Source organism: Homo sapiens, chromosome 11 (assembly GCF_000001405.40).
Source record: "Homo sapiens chromosome 11, GRCh38.p14 Primary Assembly".
NCBI lineage: Eukaryota > Metazoa > Chordata > Mammalia > Primates > Hominidae > Homo > Homo sapiens.
This window is the reverse complement of record NC_000011.10, coordinates 56,158,243-56,173,564: the sequence shown is the minus strand read 5'-3', so window position 1 is coordinate 56,173,564 and position 15,322 is coordinate 56,158,243. Positions and strand designations below refer to the sequence as shown.

At 33.9% G+C, this 15,322-nt stretch overlaps 1 protein-coding gene and 1 pseudogene across 1 annotated transcript; one reads left to right on the top strand and one right to left on the bottom strand.

Annotated features, from left to right (window-relative positions):
* On the bottom strand, positions 7,643-8,064 carry OR5J7P (olfactory receptor family 5 subfamily J member 7 pseudogene; annotated as a pseudogene).
* Positions 13,248-14,171, top strand: OR8K5 (olfactory receptor family 8 subfamily K member 5). The gene has a single exon (NM_001004058.2). The coding sequence runs from the start codon at positions 13,248-13,250 to the stop codon at positions 14,169-14,171; it is 924 nt and encodes a 307-aa protein (NP_001004058.2).
* Positions 14,172-15,322: the final 1,151 nt, after the last annotated feature.

Here is a 15,322-nt window from a genome sequence, read left to right as displayed (position 1 = left end):
CCCGGGAGGCGGAAGTTGCAGTGAGCCGAGATCGCGCCATTGCACTCCAGCCTGGGGCGACAGGAGTGAAACTCCATCAAAAAAAAAAAAATAAAAGAAGATGGTGGTTTTTGCCATTACTTTTAGCGGCAATTAAAAACTGCGATTCAGTTTTTCACATTAAAAGTGATAGCAAAAGAAGGCCAGGAGCGGTGGCTCACGCCTGTAATCCCAGCCTTCTGGGAGGCCAAGACGCGCCGATCACTTGAGGCCAGGAGTTCCAGACCACCCTGGTCAACATGGTGAAACCCCGTCTCAACTAAAAATACAAAAATTAGCCGGGCGTGGTGTTGGGCGCCTGTAATCCCAGTTACTCGGGAGGCTGAGGTAGGAGAATTGCTTGAACCCGGGAGGCAGAGGTTTCAGTGGGCCGAGATCGCCCCACTGCACTCCAACCTGGGTGACAGAGCAAGAATTAAAAAAAAAAAAAAAAAAAAAGGAAAGAGAAAAAAAACAACTATTAGCAAAAACCCCGATTACTTTTGCACCAACCTATAGATATAACTGCACTCCCCTCAAAAAATATTTTTTAAAGAGTACATTGAAATACAAACTATAAAAGTAAAAGATGCTGTGACATTTGTAGATTTATTCATAAAAATAATTGGAATTGTTTTTGTGCACAGAGGAAGAAAAAAAAACAGAAAACCAGGAGAAAAAAATGAAGTTTACACTATGATGCTCCTGGGAGTATTTTCAAACCTTTTTAAGTGAGGTTCAATTTGTTCAAAATAGATGCTAAGCCTGTGGGTCCATAAACAACACAAAATTCCATTGAAACCCAAATATAAATCCAATACTTTTGAAACATTGGAATTATCATTGTAAATGCTAGGTAAATCTGCTTATCAGCAAAAATTTTAAATAAACCTGGCCATCATGCTCTGGCACGTTGTAAGGAAAACACCTTACCTGTAAATCAGCAACCACAGCCCTTCCTCACACGGAATGAACTTTGGATTTTGCTTCCTGCACAACTGAAGCAACCTCAAGATGAGAAATAATGCACAGTGGTCTACACTGGAAACATTGTGGGACATCTAACAAAAGCAAATTGAAATCTATGAATGGATGCCTTTTCAACACAGCCTTCCAAGATTATCACAGAGAAGATTCTGTTAAATGTAAACTCACCATCTAATTGCAACACAAGAAAGCACGTCTTCAAATTAACACAATAAATCTATTTAAAATGTTCAGAAAAAAAATATTGTCAAAAGGTCAAGGAAAGAAAAAAGCAAAGAGTATAATACTTCCTCCAAAAAGAGCAGGATTACAGGCTGATTGAACTAGTTATGTTCTAAGCAATGAGTGAATAAACACTCTGAGAAAGTCTAGTCAGAGAAAATCTGTAGATTTCACAGTATTGCAGAATTGAATGAGGAAGGAAGACCATCAAAAACCAACAAAATAAACAGAAGAAAGCAAGCGTAACACATTTTCAGCTGAACAGGGACATATGATTTTTGATCCATGGCAGCATAAACAAAATCAGTATTGGAATGGAAGATATGTCTGACAATGTTAAACTGGAGACTCCAATATAAACACAAGTAGAGCACCTGCTATTCTACAGAAGCAAACTTCTATGATTTTCAAAGGAGATTATCTCCAATTAACTAGTTACTATGACGACCACAGCATTCCCAGATTTTTGTAGAAAAAAATATTCTTGTCTGTGTAAGCCCTTGCCAATCTGAAGAAAAAAATATGAATTTAGTTCAATGACAATTTCAGGTATTTGAATCATCATATACATCTTATAAAATAACCATGAATAAATATAAAAACTAAAATTTTGTGACAATTGAGAAATAAAGAGTGAAAAAATTGTACTAAGTAATATTGCATAAAAGAAAATACCATACCCATATTAATATCAGAGATTTTAACCAACAATGTTGAGATCATGATAGTCAATGTATAAAAATTAAAGTTTCAAGTAAGTAGTTAAGTATTACAATTGTAAATTTTCATGCATCTGTACAAATTAGTGGGATCTGTAACTCTTTCCCTTCCTTTTCAGGGATGCATTAAAAATATTGACTCTAGCAAATTTTCTTGTAAAAATACTTTGGTATGTTACCAGTAGGACAATATCCAGGAAATTCTTCTTTACAAAATGTTTTGCTTTTTGTAAATAATTTTGGAATTTATGAACTTATGTTTTCCAAGTAGGTGAGAAATGACAATTAGTTTCTATAACCAATATACTATATAACTGACCTAGTGTAAAAACTAAGAAAACCTAAACCTATGATCTAGTGAAATTGGCTAAGTAGATAGACAAAAAAAAGAAAAAGCCATGCAGTGGGAAAGCTAGCAAAAAATACTGCCCTCTTGATATTGCTAGCACAATTTTTAAAAATAAAATTTATAAAAGAAGAAAAGAAAGGAGACATAAGATTTAGAAAAACTAAATTTCCCATATCCCCTGACCATGTGGGTAGAAGCTATTACATTCATAGGCAAGGCCACCCATCATTGGTCGCCTGGAAGCCTATAAATGTAGCCAGAATCACAGCTAGGAAACCATGGACTCCTAAGGTTATATTGATATCAAGCTGAAATAATTCACAGAGAAATATTAGCAGAAGAATGATAACCCTATGCCAGCATGCATTCTCCAATTAAAATGTGAGTGCGTAATATTACTAATTCTAGATACAACTAAATTGGAGAGATATCTTGGGGTGATTCTGATCTGCAAGTGGCTGCAAACTTCTATGACCTGACCATTCTGAAAGATGTGACAACTAACTTGTGATGAGTAAAAGGCAAGATTTTAACAAATTTACTCTGAGGGAAGAAAACTGCCCTATTCACTAAGAAATGGAAGGCTCCATCTGAAGATGTAGGGATAATATAGTTTACACGTAACCTAAGATTGCTGGTTTGACAATCAGAAAGACACAGTCGATTTAAAGTTTTGGCACATCGTGTAACCTCTCTTTTGGAGGGGGCTGGAAAATATTTGAGAAGCAGTCACTTATTTACTAGTTTAGATATCATGTATGTGGCTAAATTATGGTAAAAGATTCATGGTTTTCCAAAGAAAAGTGAAACTGAGAAAAAAGAAGAATTAAAAGGGAGGGTGTAATAATAAATAACCAGTGTAAGAGGAGATAGTACTTATCTTGACTGAAAATAAAAAAAGATTTTAAAAATGGATGAACAAAAATCTGTGTTGTAGAATTTTTATGCCTGAACTTAAAAATAAACATAAATAATATTGATTGCAAAAATAAAAAACATAGATAATATTTTTTTAAAAAATCAAGACAAAAGGAAGAATTTTAATGGGGAATTAAAAGCTATATTTTAAATTAGTTTTCTGCATTCATTTAGGTAAACACGTTACTGTGGGGCAACAGTCCAATCAATGACTACAAAAAGCTGTGTGATTTTTAAAAATTATATCATGAAGCATCAGTGAGCTGTAAAAACAATGATTTTTACATAAACTAAAAGAACTTTTAGAAAATAATAGAGAATTTTCAATCTTTCATTCACTGGACTGTTTACCTATTCTGAAATAGGCTGCTGGATCAAGCTTGCCCAAGTAGGGAGTCTGTCATGGAGGGGAAAAAACCTGCAAAGCTTTGGTGATCAGTGCTAGAATGACAAATTTGAAATTTCAGAAATCTCAAATATATGGCAGATTCTTCATGTGAAACATTTCTGGTGCTGTTATGTAGAGTTACATAATGAGATGAAATCTGTCAAATGAAGAGAGAAATCTGTTTCAGTCACTCCAGTGTATTAGAAAGGGAAAACTTCCACAGTGGCTGAACTAATTCATTCCCATCAACAGTGCTTAAGCATTCCCTTTTCTCTGCAGCCTGAACAGTATCTGTTGTTTTTTCACTTTTTAAGCATATCCATCCTGGCTGGTGTGAGATGATATCTCATTGGAGTTTTGATGCATTTCTCTGATGATAAGTGATGATGAGCATTTTTTTCATATTTTTATTGACTGCCTGTATGTGTCTTCCTTTGGTAAGTGTCTGTTCATATTCTTTGCCCATTTTTTAAATGGAATTATTTGCTTTTTGCTTGTCGATTTGTTTAAGTTCCTTATAGATTCTGGATATTAGAATTTTGTCAGATGAATAGTTTGCAAATATTTTCTCCCATTCTGTAGGTTGTTTGTTTATACTGTTAAGAGTTTATTTTGCTGGACAAAAGCTCCTTGTTTTAATTAGGTCTCACTTGTCAATTTTTGCTTTTGCTGCAATTGCGTTTGAGGATTTAACCGTAAACTATTTGCCAACACCAATATCAAGAAGGGTATTTCATAAGTTTTCTTCTAGTATTTTTATAGTTTTTTGGTCTTACATTTAAGTCTTTAATTTATCTTGAGTTAATTTTTGTATGTGGTGAAAAGTGGGGGTCCAGTTTCATTCTTCTGCATAGGGCTACCCAGTTATCCCAGCACCATTTACTGAATAGGGAGTCTTTTCCTCATTGCTTGTTTTTGTTGGTCTTGTCAAAGATCAGATAATTGTAGCTATGCAGCTTTTTTCAAAGAACTTAAAGCAGAGCTACAATTTGATTCAGCAATCCCGTAACTGAGTATATACCCAAAAGAAAACAGACCACTTTGCCAAAATGACACATGCACTCATATGTTCATCAGCATGCTATTCACAATAGCAAAGACATGGAATCAACCTAGGTGTTTATCAATAGTGGATTGGATAAAGAAAATGTGGTGTATATACACCACAGCCATAAAAAAGAATTAAATCATTTCCTTTGCAGCAACATGGTTGCATCTGAAGGCCATTACCATAAGCAAATTATGCAGGAACAGAAAACCAAATACCACTTTCTAACTGATAAGTGGAGACTAAACTTTGAGCAAACATAGACATAAACATGGGAACAATAAACACTGCAGACTACTAGAGTGGGGAGGAAGGGAGGCACGTGTGGATTGAAACACTATCTATTAGGTACTATGCTCTGTACCTGGGTACTACATTCTCATGTAACAAGACTGAACATGTACCCCTTGTATCTAAAATAAAGTTCAAATTAAAAAAAAAAAAGGAAATCTTCCACTAAGATTTACTGCACTGAGTGTGAAATTTAGATGAAAATACAAGGGAGAAAAAATAGCTAAATCCTTCTGAAAAAAAGAATAATAGGGGAGAAGTAGTAGCCTCTCTAGATTTCTAGGTATATTAGGTAGAGTATTTAATACAATTAAATATTGGCACAGGAATAAAAAAATAGATCAATGAGGTAGCAGAGATAGCATTGACTCAGTATCTTTAATTTACATATACATGAATTCCCAATTTCTAAAAAATTGATAAAGACAATGAACAGTGTGTCTTTCCAATAAATGACATTTATATATTTGAGTGTCCATATAGGCAAGTAAGAGAAAGTATATAACCTTTTTTGATGATAATACATGTCTTATTAGAATAAGGGTAGAAATAACCAAAATTTTTTAAAAAATAAACAAATCAACAGTGCTGAAATTACAAAATGTTGTCAAAGGAGGAAATAAATAGTAAAAAGATAAAACAAACCATGAAATAGAATATGTTTGCAATATATGCAACCAATGCAGATCCCACATCAAGAATTTATAGCTCTTACAAACAACAAATGGCTATATTAATAATACTTCAAGTCCTAAATATCAATAAAAGAAAGAGCACAGAGCTACCTCCTTGATAATAATCATCTATTTATACCCACGATTTCTTTGAATGTCACTGTGACTCTTATTGTTAAAAAAAAAAAAAATACACACTCTTTCATTAAGTTTCAACAATTCTCAGAGCCAGGTAAATTTTACCTGCCAAATGAAATTCTTACTTATTTTCCTAAATCTTCATCTTCTAAACCTGTATTTCCAGTGTTTTCAAATCCTATGAAAAATATAAAATTTGTGTTTAATAGTGTGATGTGGGTGTGTTAAAAATGATTATTTGCAAATTTATTTGTGTGATATAACATTTCTGCATCACACTACTCATTGCTTAAACATAGCCAGGCTCATGAGCATTGTTTTATTATTAAATAAGTATTTGTATGGAACACAGAAAAATATAAGCTTCCACAGATAATAACATGCATTAGAATGTCCGGGGCTGTTTTTAACTTTTATGTGTATAAACTCCATCAGAATATATGTAGGAAAAACTCTAGCCTACTAAGTGGTAGAATCAGAAATATAATAATGGTTACCTAAGGAGAGATGGGGCAAGTTGATTTACTTTTATCAACCATCTTTTTAAAAATTCACTTCTCTGTATATGAATAAGTGTGAAAATATATGCATAAATATAATGCTTGCCATATAAATGAAAGTTCTACTTACATGAAACATATTGGTATGAACTACTATTATAAGCATTACAATGAAGATTATGATTCCATTTGAAAGTGCATTTTAGAGAATGTGACTTACATTATACATGAATAAACATCACATTTACTCTAAATCAATCTGTTTCCATGCCCCATATTTTTCAAAATGTATACAAAAAAGTACTCTTACAATAGTTTTGTTGTTGTTTATAAAAAAGATAAAAATTGCTTATGCTTTTCAAAATGTCATTCTTGCTAGCACAGTGACATCTGGTTTGCTAAGTAAGAAGCAGTAAATATAAAATTGCTCAAATATTCAAAAAAACTTAACTTTAGTTGTAAATACCTGAGGTTGTGTTCTATGATCTCAGTAGTTAATGCAGGCTCCAGAATGCAAAAAACAGGATGTACTACATTTGAATTTGCAAAATTGATCCAATATTATTCACAGAACTTTTTGGTAACAGATAGCATTCATAAAACGATGGAAATTTGTGAAGTAATACAATCAACTAATGCATCATTACAGAATTGAACCTATAGGCAAACATTAACATCTATCATGTGATTTGACGATTGCTGATTTTTTTAATCTTGAAAGAACGTAAGGGAGATTCTTAAAGGAAAAGATGGATGAGAAGGGTGCAGAATTGGACTTACACCAAAATGGAATTATTTCATACATACATCTAGCTGGATACTTTAGGAACAGTTTATTATTACAAACTGAGAATTATAATAAGGTTATATACAACCCATCTTCTGTTGCTAGGTCATGAGTGTCTAAGAAGAAAAATTTAGGTAAATACCTGAAAATTAGAAAATTTTAATTGGAATCATATCTGTCTATTTAGTTAATATGGAGATTTTCTAAAGATACAAGCAAATATCAAGCACAGAATTATCTTAATCTTTTGAGTACATTAATTATTTAAATTCTTAGAAAAAAGTTTTTATATTTCTAAAAGTCTATACACACAAATATATTCAGTTTTTCAAACATTAGACAATATATATGCAATTCTTGGATTGATTGGTTCATTCAAATATCATGGTCCTAACATCTCAGGAAAGCTCAGTTTTAAGGCTTTTTTTTTTTTCCTAAAATTAAGTCAATTCACCAAGTCACATCAACTTTTCAGTCTTGTTTTCTCATGTGAATTATAAAAGTTTAGTTTACAATGATTTATGAAAACACAGACACTCTAGAATTTATTGAATTTATATGAATTCTGGTAGAATAGTGTAGCACTGACAGTGACTTGAAATTAACATGAGAAATGTTTTATGTCTATAGCTCTTTTCACTGCCTGCTTTACATCCTTGTTTCTCAGACTGTATATCAATGGGTTTAACATGGGAATCACTAGTGTATAGAACACAGAAACTACTTTCTCCTGTTCCACAGAATACTGGGAGCTTGGCTGAATGTAGCTAAAGCTTAAGGTACCGTAGAATATGGCCATAGCAGTTAGGTTAGAGGCACAGGTGGAGAAGGCTTTCTGTCTGCCTGATGCTGAGCAGATCCTTAGGATAGCAAAAGCAATGAAGATGTAGGAAATGATCACAATCAAGAAGGTGGCCGTGGCAATGACTCCAGAGAAGGTTAACAGCAACAACTCATTCATGGAGGTGTCAGAACATGACAGCTTTAGCAGTGATACATAATCAATGAAATATGCAGCAAAAATGCACAATATAAATGAATTTCAAAAACAATATATTGAGTGAAGGAAGCCAGATAAGGAGTATATATGGTGTGATTCTTTGTATTTGAAATTAAAAAACAGAAAAAGACAAAATAAATCCAGGGATAGGATTCAGTTACCCAAGGATGGGGGGATGTTGTTTGGGATTAGGGTATGAGGAAAATCTCCTTATGGAGATTTGTATTTTAATGCAAGTGGCCTATGAGGATATAAAGCATAAGGAAACTTTCTTTGTTGTTGAATAAAGACATAAGCAAAATACATGTTTAAGACTAATCAAAGTGTGCAATTTAGATTCATATTTTGCTATATGTTTCTCAATGTATATATTTATTTTAATTGACAATAACTCTATATATTTATGGAGTACAATGTGATGTGATGATTTCATCTATATATGCACTGTAGAAAGATGGGTCATAGACTGTGCACCATGTTCCATAACAAAGTATCCTTAGAAGATATTCTCTTTGTTTGTTTGTTTGAGAGGGAGTCTTGCTCTGTCACCAGGCTAGAGTGCAGTGGTGCGATCTCGGCTCACCACAGCCACCGCCTCCCAGGTTCAAGAGATTCTCCTGCCTCAGCTTCCCAAGTAGCTGGGACTACAGGCATCCACCACCATGCCTGGCTAATTTTTTGTATTTTAGTAGAGACAGGGTTTCACTATATTGGCCAGGATGGTCTTGATCTCCTGACCGCATGATCCACCCGCCTTGGCCTCCCAAAGTGTTGGGATTACAGGCATAAGCCACCGTGCCTGGCCAGAAGACATTCTTAAATCAGAATAGATAGCATTATTCAGTGATAAATATCATGGTCTTTGAATGACACAAACATATCCACTGAACATCAAATAAAATATTATTAACTCAATCCTTCTTTAGCTAGATCTTAAGATGCTTGCAGAAATGTCAAGGCACTCTGATATTAGTTGCAATGTGATGTTCTAGAAGTTGGAATGAAAAGAGAAAGAGGGCTTAATTGATCATGGTTAATATATCTTACATTTGCAACTTTCACACCATGGGAGATGGTGTGTACTATCTTCAGTAGATCTTACTCTTGATAAGGTTGTACTAAACTTTATCCAACAGTGGTGTTATCTCAGAAAATAGGACAGTTGTTAGCATGGGCTTGCCATATGAAAGGACTAAGTATATATGTCACTTATTTAGAGATTAGGTTCTAATTTCAAATATTCTAGTTATCAAGTATGTGACTTCTGGAAAATTACATAGTTTGTCTGAGATTGGTGTGTTCTGAACATAGGAATAGTATTATCTAACTCACATGTAAGGGTTAAAAGATATATCTTTAACTCAGTGCCTATGATGTACTTTTAGATAAATAATAAATTCAAATAATGAATCTTTTATGATAATATGTCACAATTTCATCATGACTTTGGAACTATTCCAGTTTTACTAGGCTGAAGCTGATGGCAGCGTGATGAAGTATTTTCATTGTTACTTTAATTGCTGACTCAGTGTAATTGAGTGAGTACTTTTACATCGCATAGGTCCCCATGGATCTGTTCAGAGCATTTATGTTGTTTTCTTGAATTGTTCCTTATATATTCTCACTGGGAAAACGTATGATGGGCTAGATAATTAGCATGCATATGAAGGCAGCTTTTTAAAGTGTCTCAGATGATTTGGGCATAATGATCTGAATGAATTATATACTACTTCCTTAAGGAACATGCCAAAAAGAAGAGAAAGCCCATAAATTCTTCCTATCCAAAGGTAAAGTACAAGTAATTTGAGAGAAGACAATTTGATTCTTCATTAAAGGTGAGTGGACAAAAATTGTCATTGATTTTGATTATTACCTGGGTGTGAGTAATTTTCTATTGCTGTAGATTCTGGCAATAGACATTTGTAGGGTCACTGATAGTTGATTCCTTCAAATACACCACAAAAATTCAGTATCCCTCTTAATAACCGGGGTTCCCTGGAGTAGTGTGATGTTTGAGAATTATCCTATGAGTTGAACAGAGGTCCTAGATCTATTGATTTGTGAGAATCAATAGTAGCATTTAGATATAGCAAATGAAGAAAAATTCAAATACATTAGAAATACAAAACCAAGTCATCAATGATCTTATCTTTTTCTTTCCTTTTTTTTTTTTTTTTTTTTTTTTTTTTTTTTTTTTTGAGATGGAAGCTCGCACTGTCACCCAGGCTGGAGTGCAGTGGTGCAATCTCGGCTCACTGCAAGCTCCGCCTCCCAGGTTCACACCATTCTCCTGCCTCAGCCTCCCGCGTAGCTGGGACTACAGGCGCCCAACACCACGCCCGGCTAATTTTTTTTGTGTTTTTAGTAGTGACGGGGTTTCACTGTGTTAGCCAGGATGCTGACCTCGTGATCCGCCTGCCTTGGCCTCCCAAAGTGCTGGGATTACAGGCGTGAGCCACTGTTCCTGGCCAATGATCTCATCTATTAGAATCTAGAAAGGTTAAGATTCCCAGATACAATGCAAGATTTCCATCTCCATTTTTCATATAATCAGGAAGTACTATGAACACATGTAATAAAATATTTCAAAAATAGTGTTTTAAAATATGTATTTTCTTTTTTTCTTGCTTTTTTTAATTATACTTTAAGTTCTAGGGTACCTGTGCAGAATGTGCAGGTTTGTTACATAGGTATACATGTGCCATGGTGGTTTGCTGCACCCATCAACCCGTCACCTACATTAGGTTTTTCTCCTGATGTTATCCCTCCCCTAGCCCCCACCCGCTGAGAGGCCCCGGTGTTCCCCTCCCTGTGTTCCCCTTCCTGTGTCCCCTCCCTGTGTCCATGTTTTTCTATACAACATTTTACAAGCTTCAAATAATTTCTAGATAGTGATATTACATATATAAACTTGCATATTTTTGGTTTATTTTTACTGAGTTACTACTATTGTTTTCCTTTAAACAATAGGCATTACAAACTGATTAAGTAGACTGTAAAATAAATAGAAATAATTTTTAAAGTTATAGAGTTACCAATAAATCCCTGAACTATCATTAATTCCTAAAAGATTTCATGAAGGCTAAAGACTGAAAAATAATTCCTTTGCATACTTTTTTATCCTGTCTTTTCTATTGGTTATCCCTAAACAAGGGTATTTAAAATGTATGCATAATTATTCAAATACGTTAGAAATATACTTTTTTCCATAAGAAAAACAGGTAGGATACAAAATTGAGAAATCTTCAGAGGGAGATAATAATTGACAGTGACAATGGAAATAGACTGAATAAAAACTAAAACCATTTTAAGCAAAGTATTGACTTCAGATTGGTGGGATTGATGTTGGAATTCTGAATTTCCTTTGCAATTCAGTGCATCTTCTATTCTACCATAAAACCCTATGTGAGCAATTCCTGCAATACTGCAAATTTAAGATAAAGTTTTAGAAATAGAATAGTCATGGTTCTTATCTGTGGGAAAAGAAAGACCTAAAAGAGGGGTGAAGTTCAATGGAGAAACAGCAGACAGCTTCATTTAGGGAGAAGGAATGGAAGAGGGTCACTAACCTCCACTGTTGCCCCCTTCCCACATCTGTAGTCCATAGATGAAGTTGGCAAAATGTCTCCCACTAATGAGCAGATACCTAGAAGTGTTGCCAAATGCCACAGTGTGGCTGTGGACTGCACCTGCTCCAAACTGTAGTTTTGGATCTTTAGGTGGGTTTTCAGAGTTTTCTACCTGAGGGATGTGCAGGCTAAAGCTGACATTCCATTACATTATAATAAATCTATTCTACATTAGATCTGTGGAAAATTCCGTTACTATTCCAATTGAAAGTCACTCTCACAGAGTTCCAGATTTTCAATGAGTGGAAACTGAAGGAGAGGGGAATTTAAGTGGAATAGGCTAAGACATCTTCACTATCTGTATCAGGGACGTTCCACTTTCTTTTATTGACTTCCCGTGTATTTTTTAAATAAAGGGAGAAGTACTTTTCATTGAAATAGTTTTAATTACAGTATTATATCTCCATGAATACTCCACTGTACAATTCCAGAAAAAAAGTCATTCACTAATATATGATGTCCTAAATTCTCAAATTATTTAAATGATTTATAGAACCTACCATCTTCACAGTGTTTTATTACAGAAAATAAAGTACATATAATTAAATAGTCATCACTGAATATTGATTTAAATCATGTTTTTGCAGAAGTGGATCCAGATTATGTGTCTTGAAGCTTAGAAGAATTTGACTTTTTAGATAAAATTACACATACAAGTTGAAAGATAAATGGGAATATTTATTTAGAATAGAAAATTAGCTTTAAATTGTAATTAGTAAACAAACCCATGGCCACAAACTATATAAAATTTATTAATATAGTATGTTAATTAATCAAATGCCAAATGCATCTCAGCATACAGGTGGCAAGAGTATCCTTAGAAGACATTCTTAAGTCAGAATAGGTAGTATTATTCAGTGATAAATATCATAGTGTCTGAATGATATAAACATATCCATTGAACATCAAATAAACTATTATTAACTCAATCCTTCTTTAGCTAGATCCCACAATGCTTGCAGAAATGTCAAGTCACTATGATATTAGTTGAAGTGTGATATACTAGAAGTTGGAATGAAAACAGAAAGCAGCCTTAATTGATCATGATTATTATATCTTACATTTGAAATTTTACAAAGATATATCATTTTTGCGTGCATTCGTAAGTCCCCACACAAGACCCTGGAAGTGCAAATGAGGGACCCCAAATCTTAACCTTCATTATCTTATTGCCATCTCTACCTCTGTCTTTGAGAATATCAAAATTACAGAAAAGTTTTACAACAAAAGTGGAAGTGAACAAAAGAAAATCATGATACCATTGTGCAGATGAAAAGAGCATAATCTTTTTGTAATAATACCTATATGGCTGTGTTATTAACCGATATACTTCAAATATTGATGAAACTATTTAATCTATGTTGTTTCAGTGCATGTATTTTACATGAATTCCTCTTTTAGGAAAGTAGAAAATTTTGCTTTATATTTCATTTCTGAATCAAATGTAGAAATAATGTTTCTATTATCTATTGTGAATAACAATCTATTCTGTCTACAAATATTATAATTTGTTTAAATAGCACTACATGGAACAGCTAATAACCCAACTGTTTCTTCCTAGAAGAGATAACTGGACTAAATGGGCCAACACAATCTAACAGTGCTAACTGAATTCATTCTGATGGAACTCACAAGGCGGCCTGAGCTGCAGATTCCCCTTTTTGGAGTCTTCCTCGTCATCTACCTAATCACAGTGGTGGGCAACCTAACTATGATCATTTTGACCAAACTGGACTCCCACTTACATACACCTATGTACTTTTCTATCAGACATTTGGCTTTTGTTGATCTTGGTAATTCTACTGTCATTTGTCCCAAGGTGCTGGCAAATTTTGTTGTGGATCGAAATACTATTTCCTATTATGCATGTGCTGCACAGCTGGCATTCTTCCTTATGTTCATTATCAGTGAATTTTTCATCCTGTCAGCCATGGCCTATGACCGCTATGTGGCCATTTGTAACCCTCTGCTCTATTATGTTATTATGTCTCAGCGACTGTGTCATGTACTGGTGGGCATTCAATATCTCTACAGCACATTTCAGGCTCTGATGTTCACTATTAAGATTTTTACATTGACCTTCTGTGGCTCTAATGTCATCAGTCATTTTTACTGTGATGATGTTCCTTTGCTACCTATGCTTTGCTCAAATGCACAGGAAATAGAATTGTTGAGCATACTATTTTCTGTATTTAATTTGATCTCCTCCTTTCTGATAGTCTTAGTGTCCTACATGTTGATTTTGTTAGCTATATGTCAAATGCATTCTGCAGAGGGCAGGAAAAAGGCTTTCTCCACATGTGGTTCCCATTTGACAGTGGTGGTTGTGTTCTATGGGTCTCTACTCTTCATGTACATGCAGCCCAATTCCACTCACTTCTTTGATACTGATAAAATGGCTTCTGTGTTTTACACTTTAGTAATCCCCATGCTTAACCCTTTGATTTACAGCTTAAGAAACGAAGAGGTGAAAAATGCCTTCTATAAGCTCTTTGAGAATTGATGTCAACTTTGTGTTTAATAATCAATTTGTAATATTGTTATAATAAATATATAATATAGATTAATGTCACTTGATAATTTTTCATGTGTATATAAATTTTCCAATTTTCAAATTTTTTTAATTGTTTTTTATTTCAATAATTTTTGGGAAGTAGGAGGTTTCTGGTTATGTGAATAAGTTCATTGGGGTAATTTCTGAGGTTTTGGTGCACTCATCACCTGAGCAGTGTACACTGTACTCAATGTGTAGCCTTTTATCCCTCGCCCACACTGCACACTTTTCCCTGTGTCCCCAAAATACATTATGTCATTCTTACCTATTTGTATCCTCATAGTTTAGCTCCCACTTATAAGTGAGAACATATGATATTTGGTTTTCCATTCCTGAGTTACTTCACTTAGAATAAAGGTCTCCAGCTCCATCCAGGTTGCTGTGAATGCCATTATTTTGTTCCTTTTTATAAGTGAGTAGTATTCCATCATATATATATATACATATATATATATATACACACACACACACATATATATAGATAAAGAAAACGTGATATCTATATATATCATTTGATATATATATGGTATATATAAAGAAAATGTGATATGTATATCATATTCTGGTTATATGAGTCCACTTTTTGTCATATATATATCACATTTTCTTTATATATATCAGATTTTCAATGAGTAATCAGATTTTCGGATTTCATGAGATATATATGTGTGTGTGTGTGTGTGTGTATATATATATATATAGATCTCACATTTTCTTTATCCACTAGTTGGTTGATGGACATTTAGGCTGGTTACATACTACTGCAATTGCTAATTTCCCTGCTCTAAACATGGATGTGCAAGTGTCTTTTTCACATAATGACTTCTTTTCCACTGGGTAGATACCCAGGAGTGGGATTGCTGGATCAAGTGAAAGTTCTACTTTTACTTATTTAAAAAATCTCCATACTGTTTTCCAAAGTGGTTGTACCAGTTTACACTCCTACCAGCAGTGTGAAAGTGTTCCCTTTTCACCACATTCATGCCAACACTTTTTTTTTATTTTTAAATTATGGTCATTCTTGCAGGAGTAAGGTAATCTCATTGTGGTTTGATTTGCATTTTCCAGATACTTAGTGATGTTGAGCATTTTTAAATATT

What these genes read in the sequence shown, in the direction of transcription:
- OR8K5 (NM_001004058.2), top strand. Translation starts at nt 13,248, where the DNA reads ATGGGCCAACACAATCTAACAGTGCTAACTGAATTCATTCTGATGGAA.